We start from the raw sequence: 17,876 nt of genomic DNA, 5'->3' as shown, positions 1-17,876 counted from the left end.
TGATCCATTTTTATTTCTTCCTTTGAAATCTGCACGCCTTTTTTTTTTCTCGCCCATTACATTATCTAGAACTTCCAACGCCATGTTGAATAAGCATGGCGAGAGTGGACATCATTGCTTTGTTCCCGATCTTTGGGGGAAAAATTTCAGTCTTTCACCGCTGTGTTAGCTGTAAGATTTTTTGCAGATGCTCTTTATCAAATTGAGGCAGTTCCTCTCTATTTGCATTTTCTGAGCATTTTATCATGAATGGCCATTGAATTACGTATTCTAATACCTCATATATGTACATCATTAACTTGGATTACGCTTCTTTAAATAGCTGCCTGTTCTACTGGTTGTCAAATGAGCTGTATCCTTTCTATTTAATGCCTACATGAAGTTTTTAAATATGGACTCTATGTCATATATTTAGTCCCTTTCAGGTTTCCAACATAAAGTGATACTATTTCAGCTACTTAAGCACTTATTTAGGATTTATGCCTCATGTAGTTTAGATTTATTATGAGTTTGCACTTACATTTGATTCCTTTTTATACTCCTAATGTCTTTTTTTCTTAAACAAGTGGCCTATATATTTGGACTCACAATATTTATACATCCTCTGTCACCAGGGGTACATGTCCTTATACCTTAAAGCACGTGCTTCTGGAGTCCTGTCGTGTTACATGTTTCCTCTAAAACAAACCCTCCATGTTATTTGAGAGCCAACCCCACTTTTCAAGTTATTTAGGCTGCTGTAACCTCCATTAATAAAGGATTCAAAAGTCATAATTGTGTGATTCTTTAGGAATTATCCAAAAAGGCAATCTGATTTATTTTCCAAATATCCTGGATCTGAAATAATCTATCAGAGTTTATTTCTATGCTTGGAAAGCTTCCTTGGATGTCAGCATTTGCGATTTTCTTACTTAGCTTATGTAGCTAAGTAAGAAATGAATTGCTTTTGTTGGTTTCTTAGTACATTCTGTCCATCAAGTACATTGAGTTGTTTAGAATTGTTTTGAGTCAACAGTGTAACAAGCATCCAAAATCTTGTATAGTCAATTTTGTTTGACTATTGTGCTAGAAGATCAATTTCTATTTCCTCTGTTGACAATATCCTGAGCATTTTGAAGTTACACAATTGCAGTGGTAATTTAGCGGAAGAGTGTTAACATTTTAACCTAAATAATTGATTTTGTATTAAACAAATTCTGATGTAGGAATGTATTTAGTATTAACTATATGGAATTCTCTATAAATCTCATAAACAGAGTAGTTGCTTTTTTGAAGGGGATTAAAAATTAAATATCAACATTTTCATTTTAGAAAATAAAAAATGTGGCTCACGCCTATAATCCCAGCACTTTGGGAGGCTGAGGTGAGCAGATCACGAGGTCAGGAGATCGAGACCATCCTGGCTAACACAGTGAAACCCTGTCTCTACTAAAAAATATGAAAAATTAGCTGGGCATGGTGGTAGGTGCCTGTAGTCCCAGCTACACGGGAGGCTGAGGCAGGAGAATGGTGTGAACCCAGGAGGTGGAGCCTGCAGTGAGCCAAGATCATGTCACTGCACTCCAGCCTGGGTGACAGAGCAAGACTCTGCCTAAAAAAAAAAAAAAAGAAAAGAAAAAGAAAAGAAAAAAATGTCTTTTTTCTTTTTAAAATTTTCCTATTTTAATATTTAAAATTATTTTATCTTTTTTTTAAAAAAGTTATACATGACATGGTTTAAAACATCAAATACAGATGGTTCCTGACTTATGATGGTTCCACTTAAGATTGTTCAGCTGTGATGGCGTGAAAGCAGTACACATTCTGGAAGAAATGTACTTCAAATTTGAAATGTCAGTCTTTCTCTGGGCTAGTGATATGTGGTATAACACTCTCACCTGACGCTGAGCAGCAGTAGTGAGCCACAGCTCCCAGTCAGCCACGCTAATGTAAGTGTTCTGAGCATGTTGAGGGTAGGCTGGGCTAAACTATGATGTTTGATAGGTTAGGGGTATTGAATGCATTTTCAACTTGCAGTTTATCAGGACACAAACCCACCTGAAGTCAAGGAGCATCTGTATTTCTACAGGGCTTGTTATGCAAAACAGCTGACCACACTGCCTCCCCATTCCTCTTTCCAGACAGAAATTCTAGTAGATAGTCCCATTTTACAAATGAGAAAGTGGAGGCTTAGGGAGGTTAATTAAGACACGCAAGTTCATATGGGTAGGAAGCGATGGAGCTATGATAAGAACTCAAATCCATATGGTCCCCAAGCCTGAGGTTTGAGCTATATTGCTTCGTGATTACAGGATATATTAGTTTCCTATTGGTGCTGTAACAAATTACCACAATTTAGTGTTTTAAAACAACAAAAATTTATTGTTGGACAGTTCTGGAAATTATAAGCCTAAAATGGGTCCTGTTAAATTAAATTAAATTTGGCTTAAAGCGGCCTCTGTACTTTGAATTCCTACGTAGTATACTGAAATCTAACTTAATGTGTAAGAAAATTGTACCCTAACTTAAGAGCATATTCTTGTAATAAATAGCTGAGTCTCAGGCAAACACAGCAGCCAAGCTTCAGGCAATCACAGGTTGCCAACTGATCAGACCATGATCAAATAAGGCAAATACTGAGCTGTAAACAAGCTGCTTCTGTATACCACTTCCTTTTTCTCTCTATAAATATTGCCTGCCCCTATTGCTCAGTGGAGCTCTCTGTACCTCTTCTGGTCCTGGATGCTGCCCAATTCATGAATTGTGCTTTGCTCAAATAAATCAAAATAAATTTCATTTGTTCAAAGTTTTTCTTTTAACACTTGTACAGGGCTAATCAAGGTGTTAGCTTGTCTGTGTTCCCCTTCTGAAGGCTTTAGCGGATAATCTGTTTTTTGCCTCTTCCAGCTTGCAGCGACCAGCTGCATTCCTCGGCTTGTAGCCCCCTTCCAGCAATCACTTTCCTCTGATTTTTGCTTCTAATATCACATCTCCTTCTATTCTCTTGCCTCTTTCTTTCACTTAGAAGGACCCATGTAATTATATCAGGACCACTTGGCTAATCCAGAATAATCTCCCCATCTCAAGATCCTTAATCTAATCACTAATGCAAAGTCCCTTTTGCCATGTAAGGTAACAGATTCACAGGTTTCATAGATTCAGATCTTTCAGGGGTGGCAGTTGGGGGCATTATTCCATCTACCACACAGAGTAAAGTTTCATCTGGATGACCCACAGGCCCTACAAATACAAAATGTCTAATATGGAATGTTCTCTTAAACTGTCCTTTCTTGATGACTGGAATTACTAACCACTTGGTCTCCCAAGCATCTTCTGCTCTCGCCTTCTCCTCTCTCCCATATACAATGGATGACGACACATCATGTTGCATCTGCTCCCTCACATGTCTCTGACCCTCTCTCTAGATCCCTGATCCTACTTTAATTCGAGCCCCATCATGTCTGGTCTGTGTTACTCTAACAGTTACCCACGCTGCTTTCTCTGCTTTCAATTTTATGCTCCTCTAACCCACTCTTCCCATCAGAGTAGTCTTTCTAAAACGTGAAGCTGCCCATGACCCTTCCCTTACTATCAGTCTGCATACTGGTCCTACTGACTGCAGATCAAAGACCCAAGTCCTTAGCCTGGTGTGTGAGGCATCCATCCCTAGCCCTCTGCTTCATCTGTCACCCACCCATTTTACCAATTCCGAAAGACTTTCACTTCCCTCGAAGCCTGTCCAAGTGTCCAAGCCGCTCATGCTTTGTTAGACTTGGAAGCCATTCTCCATATACCCTCGATCAGCTTGAATGTCATTTCCACTAGAAAATTTTCCTAATTGTTTGTGACTTCAATGTCCTAATTTTACACACATTTCTGCTGTGCCCCTTTGTTTGCTAATATGTCTCCTGGGTGGTAAGCAGGACTCCGTGTCTTATTAATATTTTCCGTCTCCAGAATTCAGCCACTGTCTGCCACACAAGTGCATAATGAGTTACTATACTAATATTATGCAGCCATGTCCCCTGTACAGCAGTTCCCTGGATCTCATGGCTTCTTTTTTGATTTGCCTTGTTTGTTACCAACTTCCATCAGTAAGACAATCTATCCAATCCTTGTCCCCTTTGCCACATCACATCCTCAGGGCAATAACAAAGTTGTTAAGTTTATGCACCTTCTCCACTTGGAGCAAGGCCTCACCATGTCAGGCCTCCGCCTGATTCTCCTCCCTGCCTGGGATGGCAGATTTTGCTCTAGTGGGTCTCCAGGCCGTGAGGTCTCCTGTCTTTTATGTTCTGATCCGGGTGGTGAGCTGCAGCTCACTACAAGTCCTTACTTGTCTCTGCTGGCCTTTAGAGACTTTGTACTCAATTTGGAGGAACTACTCTTGATGGATTGTAAGTGAGAGGATTTCCTGGTCTCCCTCTGGAGTCCGCCAGAAAACCACATTCTCTGCTTTTCAGCGTTGACTGCTCATGCTTACGTAATTTCTAAGAGTAAGAGCCTATGGACTGTCCTGGCAGCAAAGAATTCGCTCAGGATTTTGCCTGAAGCTGCACTTCCGGGGTCTCGCTTCATCAGAAGACTTCTTCATTTTCATCATCGGCCCAGCGATGCATGGGTACCTCTTAGGGTTTAGCCCCAGAATGTACTGGGGGAGGGGAGGGTAAAGTAGGTGGGGAAGGAGTCAGAGTCGTAGGTCACCTGTGGCTGGAGTTTTGCATCCCTAATAAACGGGAAATGAACTGAAGGAAGACTGGGTTTTCACGTCAACACGAAGGACACCATTACGATGCTAGACTAATCATCAAATAAAATTCCAGATGGAAAAAATTCAGAAACTTAATTTGGAATTTGAGCCCCGCTCTATTATGCAACGTTCCCAGCCATTGCTCCGCGGATGTAATGTGGACTTCCACCGCCAGATGGCGATCGAGACCGTAATTTAAGTTGGTTTTCTCAACTTCCTCTGGACTGAGTCCCCGTGAAAATCCCAAGTTTAACGAGGGGCTTTCCTCGCGTAACCTTCGCTTCTGCTTCCTCTCTCACATCACCTCAACCTGCGAGACTCTGAAAGGGATAATGAGGGTTGGGGGGAATATGGAAATTCAGGGAAGGGAGAGGGGGGTGGTGTGAAGCTTTCCAGACCAGCCACACAGAAATAGCGTACCAATAGTGGTTTAGAGCACAGACCCCCAGCCAGAATGAGTAATTTAAACAGCCCTACGATGTAATCGTTGTGTGCATATGCATCTCTATGCCTCTCTCTCTCTCTGTCTTTCTTTCATCTGAGACAGGGTCTCACTCCCTCTGTCCCACAGGCTGGAGTGCAGTGGTGCAATAATGGCTCGCTGCAGTCTTGACCTCCTGGGCTCCAGTGGTCTTCCCACCTCAGCCTCTGAAACCACAGGGTCTTGAACTTCTGGGCTCAAGTGATCTTCCTGCCTCGGCCTCCTAAAGTGCTGGGGTTACAGGTGTCGGCCACCATGCCTGTCTGCTATTTAAGTGCATAGAAGAATGCCTGGCACTCAGTTAGTGTTAAATATTTATAAAATAAATTAAAATTTTATAACACTACACACATGTTGTTGAGTATGTCATAAATAGAGACATATTTAATGAGATGTCAACATATATCACGTTAATGAATTAAGTAAGTTTGAGAATATTAGAGAAGAATGATAATAGATTAACGGAGGAGGCTGGGCGCAGTGGCCCACACGTGTATTCCAGCACTTTGGGAAGCCGAGGCAGGCAGATCACATGAGGTCAGGAGTTCGAGACCAGCCTGGCCAACATGGTGAAACTCCTTCTCTACTAAAAATACAAAAAAAAAATTAGCCGGGTGTGGTGGTGTGCGACTGTAATCCCTGCTAATGGGGAGGCGGAGGTTGCAGTGAGAGGAGATCGCACCACTGCACTGCAGCCTGGGCGACAAAGCAAGACTCCATCTCAAAACAAACAAACAAACAAACAAACAAACAAAAAACAGACGAAATAGGGTTTGAGTATGTAGTCTGCTCTCAACATGAGATAGTAAAGTCTTTGCTTCCCTTATATTCTGTTAATTAACTCATTTGATGCACATCGATGTATAAAGCCTTTAACTTCTATTTATTCTTTTCCTTGAAAAGCATGCGGAATGCCTTCTCAGGACTCTCCCATTTTTTATTTGTGAACACCCACTGGCATTCCCGGATACGAAGCTTGCAAGAAGGTGTGAACCGCCCTATACTCGTGAGCCCCTGGGGCTCTGTACTCTTTCCAGCCCACATTTGACCTCAGTCAATTTTTAAATGATTCCAGCTAAATTCTTCTTACCAGTGCCCAGCTGTACCTGCCTTAGGTAAGCAAGCACTCAGGCAACAACTTTCCTAGATTTCAAGCTAGTTGGAAGCTCAATCCCAGCTCTGTGATGGGTTGAAAAAAATTGCGACCTTGCAATTTGTGTGATTTCTTTCATGTTGCAAGGAAGCATCATTGTTTCCAGTTCTCTGCATCCCCAAGCAGAAACCAGAACTCTATATAAACGTTTTTAAATGGAGACATTGAGAAAAAGTACCCGAGAAACCAATGAGATACAGGAAGAATGCTTCCAGCACTAACATGAATGGGGCTTGGCCATACAGATAGAAGGGTTGGAAACTCTTACGCCTTGATTTAAACTCTCTATGCATATTCTGAGCACGCTGGGGAATGTACTACTACTAGGCTTGATTTGGATTCATGGCTACTACCTCCCACAAAATGATAGGTCTTCTGTTTTAGTACGTGAGATAATTCCTCAATCGATCTTATTGCTGCTATTTCTGTTAAGCATAAACAATGATTTGGGTCACAAATTTCAATGGGGTTTAAATTCCTTTGTGCATCCCAACAGGTAATCCTCTTACTCTGGGCTATGAACTTGCTACTGCCAAGATGGATGCCATGAAAAAAAGAGATCTCATCAAAATGGTCACAGAGAGATGGAGGGCCTCTGTGTAGATGGCAGGGTGGTGGTGGCCGTGTAACTAGCTGCCCGGTGAGGAGCAGCCCTTGGGGAGAGCCCAGGTAGGACCAGGAGAAGCAGAAATAGAGAAAAGTGAAAGATCGAGGTGGAAAGAACATGAGGGACAAGAGCTCTGCATGGCCACATCACCAGCAGTCTTGTTATTACAATGAGGATGAAGGGACTGAAAAGAGGGGAAGAGATGGAATTCATCAAACAACAGTGCTCATTCATACAAGGTAAGTATACATGTGGCCTTTTCTCTCTCTATCTGAAGATGTGGCTTACTGTAACAGGAACTATCATGGGCATTGGACGGCTGTCTCATGGTGATCCCATCCTCCTCTACATCCTAAACTTTTTTTTGAATGCATTTCTGTATTTTGACTTCCTCTCTCCCCAAAGTTCTTGTTAACTTCTGAGTATGACTTAGCTTCCTTATTCTTTGAAATATTTGAAACCCCTAACTTCCTCTCCTCTGTGGTGTAACTCACATGGCTTCTTGATACCAGGAGGCACTGTCTGCATACAACCTCATATTATGAGGATGAAATGCCCATGAATCCTACCAATCTGAGGAACAACGCATTTGTCTTCTCTGACAAAATACGGGTGCCACATATTCTGTAGGAAAAGGTGGTGTTGAGGTCAGAACTTCTCTGTTTCTCTGTCTCTCTCTCTCTGGTTCTGGAAATGTTGAGAATATGAGTGAAGGGAAAAAGATGGGCACCACGTGGAGGCAATTTCATGGTGGCATGAAACAATTTTGGGGGCATGAATGCCATGGGCAGAACATCAGGGCCCCAAAAGGGAAATACACAGTACTTTCTTTGGACTTCAGTGCTCTCTTTTATAGTAATGGAAACCACAAGCGCAGAGGAAGGGGAGCTGATTCTATAAAAAGAAGTTTATTTCCTACTTTAAAAGATGATTTTTTGACTATCTTCCCACAATAGAGCCAGAGGATCACAGGGGAAAGCTACGATCCTCAATTATAGAAAATGATGTTGGGTGCATCTAGCATCACAGAAGCTTTAGAGGACACAGTCATCTCAGGTACCTACAGATAAGGAAGAAGTACCAATGAGAGTACCTACTCGTATTCTTATTCATGGAAGCGAATCCCTTCAGGAACCAAATCATTTAGCTGCTGGTAGATGTTTCTTTTGGCTCCTCTCTCTCCTGAGCTCTCAAACACAGACTTTTTTTTCTGTGTGCCTCTGCTTTTGGCAACTCTGTTCCAAGAATAAGAATATTTGTTTGTAGATGAGCTTGCTAGGTCGGGGATCTCTTGTATAGGGAGATGGTGAATCACTGAGCAGGACACAGAGGCATGAGTTGAAACAGTGAGATGTACCTTAGTTTAAAGAGAGGTCACAAGAGCTCATGGACCATTATTAGATAAACTCTAAATTAGAAAAAAGAACCATATTTCTCTTTTGATAGTCACATAAAAATTGAAGCCATACTCATTCTAATAAAAAGTAACATGCATAGCTCTTCATTGCAAAGCTCATCTATTATTCATAACAGGCATATAGGGTCTATATCATTTTTACAGAAGTGGAAATAGCATGTAATTACTAATTTAGTTTATTCATTAGTTTTCCAAAAGTGAAATAAAGAATTTTCCCTTTGACTTCCTACCTGGTAATTTGAAAGAGATAAATTTGTGACTAAAAAGAGTACTTCACATCATACACAAATAATTAATGCAACTGATTGACCCAAGCTAGTGTGTGTGATATTGTGATATAATAGGAAGTATATATTTGGTTTCTGACCCTGGTTCCTGCCCTTCAGCTCCTAAAACTCTTGGAATCTCCAGAGTGATAAGAGTGTCTTTTGCATGCTAATGAGGTGACTGGTGGCTGGGGCTGGTCACCAGAAAGACCAAGGCAGGATTAGAGGGTTGGGATTTTCAGCCCACTCACAATCTCTGGGGAGAAGGGAGGGGCTGAAGGTTGAGTTGACTGCCAATGGCCAATGGTTTAATCAACTCACCATGCTGACATAACAAAGCCTCCATTAAAACCCAAAAGGGCAGAGTTTGGAGAGTTTCCAGATAGCAGAACACGGAAAGATGCCTGGAGGATAGGCTCTTGAAGAAGGTGTGGAAGCTCCGCACTCTTTCCCCCATACTTTGTCCTATGTGTTTTGTTTTTCTTTATCAATCTGTTCGTCTGTATCCTTTGTCTTATCCTATGTAATAAACCAGTGTATGTAAGTGTTTCCCTGAGTTCTTTGGGCTGCTCTAGCAAATTAATTGAACCTGAGGAAAGGTTTGTGGGAACCTCCAATCTATAATTGGATGGTCAGAAGTACAGGTGATAGCAACTGGCATCTGAAGTGGGAAGGGGGCAGTTTTGCATGACTGATCCCTCAATCTGTGGGATCTGATGCTATTTTTAGGTAAATAGTATCAGAATTGAATTGATTTAGAGGAACCCGGTGTCTGCTGGAGAATTGCTTGGTGTGGGGGAAAAATCTCCACATACCTGATGTCAGAAGTAACTGTGTAAGACAGAAGGAAAAATGCTTTGGAGTTTTTTGTTTTTTCTCCCCATCTCTATTTATATAGGTTAAAAATGTGGCTGGGTGCATGCCCATGATCTGAGCACTTTGGAAGGCCCAGGCAGGAGGATAACTAGAGGTCAGGAGTTCAAGACCAGCCTAGGCAACACAGTGAGACCCCCCCGCATCTCTAAAAAACAAACAGAGACAAATACATAAATAAATCAGTACAAGTACAAGCCTCATAATCCATTATGAAAGTGTCAGAGTGATGAATGCCATGGGCATAGTAACAGTTAATAAAGAAAATAATGTGTTGGAGGAATATTTAAGATAACTGAGGCTGCTACAAGCAAAACTACAGAATAATTTCATCATATACATTTTTTTTTGTTTCCAAATTAGATACAAGATTAAGCCTTGGGTCTCCCTGGCAGTGGAGGGCGATTCTGATATTCACATATAACTACCCACAGGGCATGGATTCTGAGAGATGCTGATAAAAGAAGTTGGTGTCTTCTTGGCATTTGTCCCCAAGGATCTTCCAATACCCAGAGAATCTGCATTTACACAGATCATGCTCCCTTGGGAGCTTCTCTTGACTGCCCCCCACACCCTCATTCGTGGCTTTTCCTCTTTGATCTCCCACTTCAGTCCTCACACCTGTCAACACTGTGCTTATTACCATGTGGAGTGGTTAGAAGATCTTCCCAGAGTCAAGACATTTCCAGGGTCACCCTTCTCTTAGGCATTTCTTGGCACGACTGTCCTGAATAAAGGAAAGGAGATGAAGGTGATGTTGAGAAGCATCTAGAGGGCTGGAGTCAGGGGGAACCGGCTGAGGCTGTTGGATCAAGTTTTAGCCACTGGTAAAAGACCTCCAAGCTGCGAATGCTATTGCCATCTGTGTAAAGTCGCCTCCGAGATTAGAACATGCCAAAGACTGAAGAAAGAGGTCTAGGTAGCATAAAGCCATCATGTAATTGAAGTTTCTTCCGTTTCCAAGGACAGGAAGCGTGCAAATGGCTCTGCGTTCTCAGTAGGGGTGGGGCTAAGAAGTGAGCCTGCAAATGGTAGTTTGGGCGAAGACTTGTGTGATGCATGCAGGGACTCAAATTTAGTGTCCTCTGAACACAAACACCCTCTATGATCCGGGTTAGGTATCGCTCCTGTGAACGTTCAAAGAACACCTTTATATTCTGAGGGGACACCGTTCATCATCAGATCACTGTTGACGGAAGCCAGGTGACAGCTTTGTATTTCGTGTTTTCCCCTTTAGTAATGTAAAAATAGAAGTTATTTCTCCTTTCTTCCAATGTAGGATTTTTTTTTTTGAGAGGGTCTCTGTCACCCAGGCTGGAGTGCAGTGACACAAACACAGCTCACTACATCCTTGACCTCTTGGGTTCAGATGGTCCTCCCGCCTCAGCCTCCTTAGTAGCTGGGACGACAGGCACATTCCACCGGCCCGGCTAATTTCTTTTTAAAGTTTTTGTAGAGATAGGGCTCTCACTATGTTGCCCAGACTGGTCTTGAACTCCTGAGCTCAAGCGATTCTCTCACCTTGGCCTCCCAGAGTGTTGGGATTACAAGCGCGAGCCACCACACCCAGCCCAGTGTAGGAATGTTTAATTCCTCCACTTGCTATCAAAGAAAACTGCTAACTTTCTTATTTCCTAATTTCTCTTTTTCTATTTGCTTCTCCTTAGGTTCTGCTCTTGGGTGCTATCTCCTTAGTTTTGAGAATATGAAGGTTTGTTTAGAAAAAAAAAAGCAGAAAAAATTCACTGGAAGATTTCACATTTGTATATATCTTTATGAAATGTGACAGTGAAGTGTTAGGGTAGAGATATTTGATCTGATTACCATTAGGATAAAATCAAATCTCCTTACCATGTCTTACATGTGTACTTGTCCAATCTTGTCTCCTATAATTGTCCAACCAACCCGTTCTGTTCCAGCCTCACTGGCCTTCTTATTCTTTCACGAAGCTCACACTGTCCTCCAGAGCCTTGCACTCTCTTTTGCCTGGAATGCTCTCCCAGATCTTAACATGATAGGAAAACAAAAGACAACTGTTTGTCATGTCTACTACAGTCTCAGCCCCATGAGGCAGAGTCCATGCCCATTTTCCTTCCATGCAACATTCCTGGCACCTAGAGAGTGACTGATGCATAATGGCTGGTAAAATATTTGATTAAAAAATATTTTAGTGTATTTCCTCCCCCAAAATATACATACACAACAGAGGCAGTTATTTTGTCTATATCTTTAGCACATTTTAGGCATTTAGTAAATTTCTGTTGAATCCATATGGAATTCTTCAGATTGATCTGTGAACACTTTAGATTTGAAAAAGGAGAAAATCATAAAACTAAGGGTAATGGGGAGAGAGCAAAACCAAAGGCAGACATGGGAAGATTCTCCTTATACAAAATACTTTTTCCATGTCTATAATGAACCCCCAAATTATCTGGATACTTACAACAGTGGTAGCAAGGGAATGTCTCGTTAATGCAGGTTCTCTATTCTCCTCAATTAATTTCAGGTCCTTAATTGTGCATGACATATGAAACATAAAGGGTGTTTATTTGCTAATCACCAGCATTAATTAATTCAAAGACTTACCTGAGATTCTGTTTGCGCAATAAAAATTAAAAAGATTACTCAGTAATACATTGGGAGAGGTGTAACTGGGGCATTAAAATACGAATGTGTGTCTAATTTTCAAACATCATAAGTATTTTGAAAGCACTTATACATAATCAATTAATATATGTTGTTAACTAAATTCATATGAATAATATGTGATATAAATTAGTGTTTTGTATTAATTTCAAGACAATTAGAAAGAGAATGTCACCATCACTCTTTTGATTCAATCAACAGTCCTTAGACTGGTTCCTTGTAATGAATTTAATGGGTTAGTAAAAGCTGTGTTATTTGAAATTATGTAATTTTGTTTTTTTAATATTTTGCTCAAATACTTTTCTTATTAGTGTAAATGACTGAAGTATTATGTAAATTTTAATACTGATTATCTAAGGTATATCATTAAAACAAATTATGAGCTGTGATCTTGGGCAAGGTACTCAAACTGAAAGATGTTTTCCTTATCTGAAAATTTAGATAATAATAATTACCTCATAGTCTGTTAAGAAAAGCACATGTGATAATATATTTTAATGTACAATATGTCTGGCACATATTAAGGTCTAAAAAGGATAACTGTTACTGTTATACCAATAAATATAATAATTTTGATAAATATAATAGTAATTTAAATATATTTTTTCCAACATTTATTTTAAGTTCAGGGGTACATGTGCAGGATGTGCAGGTTTGTTACATAGGTAAATGTGTGCCATGGTGGTTTGCTGCACAGATCATCCCATCACCTAGTTATTAAGCCCAGCATCTGTTAGCTATTCTTCCTGATGCTCTCCCTCCTCCCATCCCCTACCTCCGACAGGCCCCAGTGTGTGTTGTTCCCCTCCATGTGTCCAAGAGTTCTCATCATTCATCTCCCACCTATAATGAGAACTATAAACTCATAATTCAGCTCCCACCTATAAATGAGAACATATGATATTTGGTTTTCTGTTCCTGTGTTAATTTGCTAAGGATGGCCTCCAGCTCTATCCATGTCCCTGCAAAGAACATGATCTTATTCCTTTTCATGGCTACATAATGCACCACATTTTCTTTATTTAGTCTACCATTGATGGGCATTTGGGTTGATTCCATGTCTTTGCTATTGTGAATAGTGCTGCAATGAACATATGCATGCATATGTCTTTTATAATAGAGTAATTTATATTCTTTTGGTTATATACCCAGTAATGAGATTGCTGGGTCAAACAGTATTTCTGTCTCTAGGTCTCTGAGGAATTGCCACACTGTCTTCCACAATGGTTGAACTAGTTTACACTCCCACCAACACAACCTCTCCAGCATCTGTTGTTTTTTCACTTTTTAATGATAACCATTCTTACTGGTGTGAGATGGTATCTCATTACGGTTTTGGTTTGCATTTCTCTAATGATCAGTGATATTGAGCTTTTTTTCATATGTTTCATGGCCACATGTATGTTTTCTTTTGAGAAGTATGTGTTCATGTCCTTTGCCCATTTTTTAATGGGTTTTTTCTTGTAAATTTAAGTTCCTTATAGATGCTGAATTGTAGATCTTTGTCAGACGCATAGATTGAAAAATTTTCTCCCATTCTGTGGGTTGTCTTTTTACTGTGTTGGTAGTTTCTTTTGCTGTGTAGAAGCTCTTTACTTTAATTAGATCCCATTTGTCAATTTTTGCTTTTGTTGCAATTGTTTTTGGCCTCTTCATCATGAAATCTTTGCCCATGCCTATGTCCTGAATGGTATTGCCTAGGTTTTCTTCTAGGGTCTTTATAGTTTTGGGTTTTACATTTAAGTGTTTAATCCAACTTGAGTTGATTTTTGTATATGGTGTAAGGAAGAGGTCCAGTTTCAATCTTCTGCATATGGCTAGCCAGTTCTCCCAGCACCATTTATTAAAGAGGGAATCCTTTCCCCATTGCTTGTTTTTGTCAGATTTGTTGAATATCAGATGCTAGTAGGTGTGTGGTCTTATTTCTGGGTTCTGTATTCTGTTCCATTGGTCTATATGTCTGTTCTTGTACCAGTACCATGCTGTTTTAGTTACTGTAGCCCTGTAGTATAGTTTGAAGTTGGGTAATGTGATGCCTTCAGCTTTGTTCTTTTTGCTTAGGATTGCCTTGGCTCTTCGAGCTCTTTTTTTGGTTCCATGTGAATTTTAAAATAGTTTTTTAAAAATTCTTTGAAGAATGTCAATGGTAGTTTAATAAGAATAGCATTAAATCTATAAATTGCTTTGGGTAGTATGGCCATTTTCATGATATTGATTCTTCCTATCCATGAGTATGGAATGTTTTTCACTTTGTTTGTGTCATCTCTGATTTCTTTGAAGAGTGATTTGCAGTTTTCCTTGAAGAGGTTCTTCACTTACCTTGTTAGCTATATTCCTAGGTATTTTATTCTATTTGTGGCAATTGTGAATGGGAGATCATTTGTGGGTAATTTAAATTTTTAAAATCAAATATTTTATCACTCATTATGCATTATTCTTCTCTGGGATAGATAGAGATTTCCCAGAACTCCGATAAGCTTTATTTTAACCTATTTACCTCTGATTAATCTGTTTCACCTCCCGGTTGTTACTGTAGTAACTGGGGTTATTAATAGCCTCAGAGCTACCAAGACTTCTCTGTAAAACTGATTATCTTTTTCAGGATAGCATCCTCTAAATGGTTATGCAAGATTTATGGTTAAGAATGGAAGTAGCTGATTAAATAATTCAATGAGCTTTACTCAACTATCTACTTTTCACAGCCTCTATTTTGTCCCCTGTGGAAGCACATAACAGGGCTTAGCTTTGGTGTTGTAGCTCTCTGTCAGAATACGCAATTAGTAGGTCTCATATATAAAATTTCATTTCATCTTAATATTAATCCCACCAAATGGAAGCTATCTAAACTTTAAAGTTAAAATGACTGAGGCTAACAGAGAATATGTGATTTGTTGAGGGTCACAAACTTAACGAATTCTCCAACTACGGGACAAATGCATTTTTCTCAAAATCTGTTACCTTTTATATTATATCCCAGTGTCTCATAGTGCCAAGACAAGGAAAAAATGAACAATTCTTAGACAATTATCTTCTTTTCCAGGGAATATCTTTCCATTTTCTTTTTCCCATCCCTCTCCTACCCTCCCCAGCTACAGTCAAACCTCAAATATAAGAACCAGAGAATTTAAATAAATGTCACAAGAAGAAACATCCTGAATCGTGTTCTTCTTCTGGTTCCTGAAACTTCCAAACATATCTTCAGCGTTATCACAAAGTTCAGTGATACTTAGGAATAACCTAGTGCTGGACACCAAGTAGATGACCAATGAATAATTTTTGTATTTTTAGTAGAGACGGGGTTTCACGATGTTGGCCAGTCTGGTCTCGAACTCCTGACCTCAGGTGATCCACCCGCCTTGGCCTCCCAAAGTGCTGGGATTACAGGCATGAGCCACCGCACCCGGCCCAGAAACAGATTTCTTATCTGAAATATCAGAAGGCAGAAAACAACAAGAGGGAAAAAAGGCTGCTAACTTAACGCATGGGGAAGCAGGGTGTGGGCAGGAAATGCAGTGTAAGAGAGGAGATTTGTACAGGGCGATGGAAGAGACAATGGAGAGAAGACAATCTGAGCAGAAGCTGTGAGGAGTAGATAGATGCTGGGGAAAGGGACTGCTAATTATGGTGTTATTTTAAAACTAGCTTTGTGTTTAAAATTCTCATTGCAACACCCTCAGAGACCTCCACTGCACTGCAAAAATCTTGGATTTATATTTTGTTTATCTTCTGGTGTAAAACTGAGCTGAAGCACACTGATTCTACTAGAAGAAGTCAATGTCCTAGGAAGACATTGACAGCTGTAGGGATGTTAACTGGGTCATCTTCACCAGTAGGTGGGGACATTGCACTTTAAAAATTCAAGGGAGCTGCTGCTTTCCCTTCTCTCCTGGCCCCTTGGCAGGTCTAGATTTGAGGGATCAGCATTTCTTGAGGGTGGTAACCCAGCCACTCTTTTTTCCCTTACTCTTCCTTCCATGTGTTCAAAATATGATGCAATCTGAGATGTGGTTATGGGTGTTTGAGAAGCAAAGAAGCATGACTGGAGCAGGAGTTAAAGTCTGCTTTTGTTTGAGAACTGAAGAGCTCAGTCTTTTACACGCTTTCACAGATAAGAGATTGGTACTATAAAATTACATGCTTAAAACAAACTTCGCTGCTGTCATTCTAATGCAAGCCACTATCCTTTTTCACATTGAGCATCCTGCCACCATCTGCAGCATTCTTGATATTTCAGTAAGAATTAAATTTTATTTTGCAATCAGTATTTTAAATTTATCAGGATACCTGTATATAGTTTGAGGATTAAACAATAAAGATGTATTTTAATGAAAACAAGAGCCCTTCATGCCATTCCTTTCCTCCACTAGCATTATCCCCAGGTCAATGACTTTTAATGGTAATATGTGTATCTTTGTGTATGTGGGGTATTAATTTAGACATCAGTTATCTAATTATCTGAAAGCAGATAATTTAGACCACCAACAATTTTATGTCTCTGGCATCCTTCTTGCAATTTTATTATATTACTATGTTTAGTTCCTCTGTAGGTAATCCCTGTATTTAAAAAAAAAACAAAGAAAACCTACACCTAAGTATATTGTATTTAAACTGTAAAAAAAGTTGAAATACATAAATACTGCTTAGAAAAGCAAAGTGGGATGGGAAAAGTACAAGTTATTACATTTTAGTATATTTCTTAAAAATGAATATAACAGGTAGATATTTGTTAGTATGCATTACAAAATTTGGGCAACATAGTTATGAAGTATATTTGGATATTTTTCAATACATATATTACACAAAGGAAGAAATAAAGTACTGCTCAAATCAATGGATTAAATAACCTAGTTGAAATATTGGAAAGTAGATGAACAGTAATTCACAGAAGAAACTCAAATGGAAAACAGCATATGCAAAGATGGCCAACTTTCTCTATAATATTTGACACAGTAATATTATGTCATTTCAGTTTAAATAAAATTATACATTGATAAAAATGTGAAATCACGTCTTTGAGGGGTTACTAAGAAACTGTCTAGAAGCATTGTTCTAGAAGCTGATGTGGTTTTGGAAGATCAAGTGTGAATGTCCAAAGGCACTTCTGTTGAATAAAACGCCAAGTGGAGGAATTGAAGATCCCTGATTGTGGAAGTATCCAACTGTTTAGAACTCAACTGAAATCCTGAATGATAGTTCTCTACATGTAGCAGGAGGAGCAAGTGACTCATGGAAATAACGGGTTTATTTAAATAAAGATAGCCTTTATGTGGACATCAAATTCATCAATGAATGTATCCATTTATTTGTCAAATAATTATTTAGCTCCTACTAAGTGCTACATGCTATTCCAGATAACTTAGTCAAAAAGGCAAATGTGTCCCTACCTTTATGAGCTTTAATTCTAGCAGGAACTAAAAAAAGTCACATAATAAACAGACATAAAATGCAGTGTTAGGTTGTGATTCTTGCTATGAAGCTACAAAAGAGGAAAGCTGAGTAAGGGAATAAAGAAACAAAGTGCTTATCAGTAGTGAACTTCCATGCAGGCCATGACAGGCTCATTTCAAAAGAAGCAGAAATATTTTATTATTTTTCCTTGGGTTATTAGTGTCACATGTAAGAATAGTGCACTAGATTTACTACCACAGATTTTTGTACTTATACTTATTTTGAACAAAATAACAACGTCTAGATAGTTCCTTTC

The 17,876-nt window shown here is 39.5% G+C and overlaps 25 annotated features.

The window, feature by feature from the left end:
• Window positions 7,265-7,409: an enhancer, noted in NCBI's record as "145 bp 6:32762528 sequence used in MPRA reporter constructs". NCBI's record gives its function as "activates a minimal TATA-containing promoter with 6:32762528 allelic activity by MPRAs in C283T melanocytes {active_cell/tissue: C283T}" and the evidence as "EXISTENCE:reporter gene assay evidence [ECO:0000049][PMID:36423637]".
• Window position 7,337: a transcriptional cis regulatory region, noted in NCBI's record as "6:32762528 MPRA-significant variant associated with a GWAS melanoma risk locus at 6p21.32". NCBI's record gives its function as "allelic transcriptional activity by MPRAs in C283T melanocytes {active_cell/tissue: C283T}" and the evidence as "EXISTENCE:reporter gene assay evidence [ECO:0000049][PMID:36423637]".
• Window positions 12,877-13,021: an enhancer, noted in NCBI's record as "145 bp 6:32756916 sequence used in MPRA reporter constructs". NCBI's record gives its function as "activates a minimal TATA-containing promoter with rs28986460 allelic activity by MPRAs in C283T melanocytes {active_cell/tissue: C283T}" and the evidence as "EXISTENCE:reporter gene assay evidence [ECO:0000049][PMID:36423637]".
• Window positions 12,947-12,948: a transcriptional cis regulatory region, noted in NCBI's record as "rs28986460 or 6:32756916 MPRA-significant variant associated with a GWAS melanoma risk locus at 6p21.32". NCBI's record gives its function as "allelic transcriptional activity by MPRAs in C283T melanocytes {active_cell/tissue: C283T}" and the evidence as "EXISTENCE:reporter gene assay evidence [ECO:0000049][PMID:36423637]".
• Window positions 14,706-14,850: an enhancer, noted in NCBI's record as "145 bp 6:32755087 sequence used in MPRA reporter constructs". NCBI's record gives its function as "activates a minimal TATA-containing promoter with rs28986410 allelic activity by MPRAs in C283T melanocytes and UACC903 melanoma cells {active_cell/tissue: C283T | UACC903}" and the evidence as "EXISTENCE:reporter gene assay evidence [ECO:0000049][PMID:36423637]".
• Window position 14,778: a transcriptional cis regulatory region, noted in NCBI's record as "rs28986410 or 6:32755087 MPRA-significant variant associated with a GWAS melanoma risk locus at 6p21.32". NCBI's record gives its function as "allelic transcriptional activity by MPRAs in C283T melanocytes and UACC903 melanoma cells {active_cell/tissue: C283T | UACC903}" and the evidence as "EXISTENCE:reporter gene assay evidence [ECO:0000049][PMID:36423637]".
• Window positions 14,872-15,016: an enhancer, noted in NCBI's record as "145 bp 6:32754921 sequence used in MPRA reporter constructs". NCBI's record gives its function as "activates a minimal TATA-containing promoter with rs28986404 allelic activity by MPRAs in C283T melanocytes {active_cell/tissue: C283T}" and the evidence as "EXISTENCE:reporter gene assay evidence [ECO:0000049][PMID:36423637]".
• Window position 14,944: a transcriptional cis regulatory region, noted in NCBI's record as "rs28986404 or 6:32754921 MPRA-significant variant associated with a GWAS melanoma risk locus at 6p21.32". NCBI's record gives its function as "allelic transcriptional activity by MPRAs in C283T melanocytes {active_cell/tissue: C283T}" and the evidence as "EXISTENCE:reporter gene assay evidence [ECO:0000049][PMID:36423637]".
• Window positions 15,335-15,479: an enhancer, noted in NCBI's record as "145 bp 6:32754458 sequence used in MPRA reporter constructs". NCBI's record gives its function as "activates a minimal TATA-containing promoter with rs28986397 allelic activity by MPRAs in C283T melanocytes {active_cell/tissue: C283T}" and the evidence as "EXISTENCE:reporter gene assay evidence [ECO:0000049][PMID:36423637]".
• Window position 15,407: a transcriptional cis regulatory region, noted in NCBI's record as "rs28986397 or 6:32754458 MPRA-significant variant associated with a GWAS melanoma risk locus at 6p21.32". NCBI's record gives its function as "allelic transcriptional activity by MPRAs in C283T melanocytes {active_cell/tissue: C283T}" and the evidence as "EXISTENCE:reporter gene assay evidence [ECO:0000049][PMID:36423637]".
• Window positions 15,499-15,643: an enhancer, noted in NCBI's record as "145 bp 6:32754294 sequence used in MPRA reporter constructs". NCBI's record gives its function as "activates a minimal TATA-containing promoter with rs28986391 allelic activity by MPRAs in UACC903 melanoma cells {active_cell/tissue: UACC903}" and the evidence as "EXISTENCE:reporter gene assay evidence [ECO:0000049][PMID:36423637]".
• Window position 15,571: a transcriptional cis regulatory region, noted in NCBI's record as "rs28986391 or 6:32754294 MPRA-significant variant associated with a GWAS melanoma risk locus at 6p21.32". NCBI's record gives its function as "allelic transcriptional activity by MPRAs in UACC903 melanoma cells {active_cell/tissue: UACC903}" and the evidence as "EXISTENCE:reporter gene assay evidence [ECO:0000049][PMID:36423637]".
• Window positions 16,139-16,283: an enhancer, noted in NCBI's record as "145 bp 6:32753654 sequence used in MPRA reporter constructs". NCBI's record gives its function as "activates a minimal TATA-containing promoter with rs12663979 allelic activity by MPRAs in UACC903 melanoma cells {active_cell/tissue: UACC903}" and the evidence as "EXISTENCE:reporter gene assay evidence [ECO:0000049][PMID:36423637]".
• Window position 16,211: a transcriptional cis regulatory region, noted in NCBI's record as "rs12663979 or 6:32753654 MPRA-significant variant associated with a GWAS melanoma risk locus at 6p21.32". NCBI's record gives its function as "allelic transcriptional activity by MPRAs in UACC903 melanoma cells {active_cell/tissue: UACC903}" and the evidence as "EXISTENCE:reporter gene assay evidence [ECO:0000049][PMID:36423637]".
• Window positions 16,817-16,961: an enhancer, noted in NCBI's record as "145 bp 6:32752973 sequence used in MPRA reporter constructs". NCBI's record gives its function as "activates a minimal TATA-containing promoter with rs72249788 allelic activity by MPRAs in C283T melanocytes {active_cell/tissue: C283T}" and the evidence as "EXISTENCE:reporter gene assay evidence [ECO:0000049][PMID:36423637]".
• Window positions 16,886-16,891: a transcriptional cis regulatory region, noted in NCBI's record as "rs72249788 or 6:32752973 MPRA-significant variant associated with a GWAS melanoma risk locus at 6p21.32". NCBI's record gives its function as "allelic transcriptional activity by MPRAs in C283T melanocytes {active_cell/tissue: C283T}" and the evidence as "EXISTENCE:reporter gene assay evidence [ECO:0000049][PMID:36423637]".
• Window positions 17,247-17,391: an enhancer, noted in NCBI's record as "145 bp 6:32752546 sequence used in MPRA reporter constructs". NCBI's record gives its function as "activates a minimal TATA-containing promoter with rs13203581 allelic activity by MPRAs in C283T melanocytes and UACC903 melanoma cells {active_cell/tissue: C283T | UACC903}" and the evidence as "EXISTENCE:reporter gene assay evidence [ECO:0000049][PMID:36423637]".
• Window positions 17,247-17,501: a biological region, named in NCBI's record as "melanoma risk locus-associated MPRA allelic enhancers 6:32752436, 6:32752477 and 6:32752546".
• Window positions 17,316-17,460: an enhancer, noted in NCBI's record as "145 bp 6:32752477 sequence used in MPRA reporter constructs". NCBI's record gives its function as "activates a minimal TATA-containing promoter with rs13203642 allelic activity by MPRAs in C283T melanocytes and UACC903 melanoma cells {active_cell/tissue: C283T | UACC903}" and the evidence as "EXISTENCE:reporter gene assay evidence [ECO:0000049][PMID:36423637]".
• Window position 17,319: a transcriptional cis regulatory region, noted in NCBI's record as "rs13203581 or 6:32752546 MPRA-significant variant associated with a GWAS melanoma risk locus at 6p21.32". NCBI's record gives its function as "allelic transcriptional activity by MPRAs in C283T melanocytes and UACC903 melanoma cells {active_cell/tissue: C283T | UACC903}" and the evidence as "EXISTENCE:reporter gene assay evidence [ECO:0000049][PMID:36423637]".
• Window positions 17,357-17,501: an enhancer, noted in NCBI's record as "145 bp 6:32752436 sequence used in MPRA reporter constructs". NCBI's record gives its function as "activates a minimal TATA-containing promoter with rs28986383 allelic activity by MPRAs in UACC903 melanoma cells {active_cell/tissue: UACC903}" and the evidence as "EXISTENCE:reporter gene assay evidence [ECO:0000049][PMID:36423637]".
• Window position 17,388: a transcriptional cis regulatory region, noted in NCBI's record as "rs13203642 or 6:32752477 MPRA-significant variant associated with a GWAS melanoma risk locus at 6p21.32". NCBI's record gives its function as "allelic transcriptional activity by MPRAs in C283T melanocytes and UACC903 melanoma cells {active_cell/tissue: C283T | UACC903}" and the evidence as "EXISTENCE:reporter gene assay evidence [ECO:0000049][PMID:36423637]".
• Window position 17,429: a transcriptional cis regulatory region, noted in NCBI's record as "rs28986383 or 6:32752436 MPRA-significant variant associated with a GWAS melanoma risk locus at 6p21.32". NCBI's record gives its function as "allelic transcriptional activity by MPRAs in UACC903 melanoma cells {active_cell/tissue: UACC903}" and the evidence as "EXISTENCE:reporter gene assay evidence [ECO:0000049][PMID:36423637]".
• Window positions 17,663-17,807: an enhancer, noted in NCBI's record as "145 bp 6:32752130 sequence used in MPRA reporter constructs". NCBI's record gives its function as "activates a minimal TATA-containing promoter with rs28986372 allelic activity by MPRAs in C283T melanocytes {active_cell/tissue: C283T}" and the evidence as "EXISTENCE:reporter gene assay evidence [ECO:0000049][PMID:36423637]".
• Window position 17,735: a transcriptional cis regulatory region, noted in NCBI's record as "rs28986372 or 6:32752130 MPRA-significant variant associated with a GWAS melanoma risk locus at 6p21.32". NCBI's record gives its function as "allelic transcriptional activity by MPRAs in C283T melanocytes {active_cell/tissue: C283T}" and the evidence as "EXISTENCE:reporter gene assay evidence [ECO:0000049][PMID:36423637]".

The sequence above is a fragment of the Homo sapiens genome, chromosome 6 (assembly GCF_000001405.40).
Source record: "Homo sapiens chromosome 6, GRCh38.p14 Primary Assembly".
Classification (NCBI taxonomy): Eukaryota; Metazoa; Chordata; class Mammalia; order Primates; family Hominidae; genus Homo; species Homo sapiens.
This window is presented reverse-complemented; position numbering and strand designations above follow the sequence as displayed.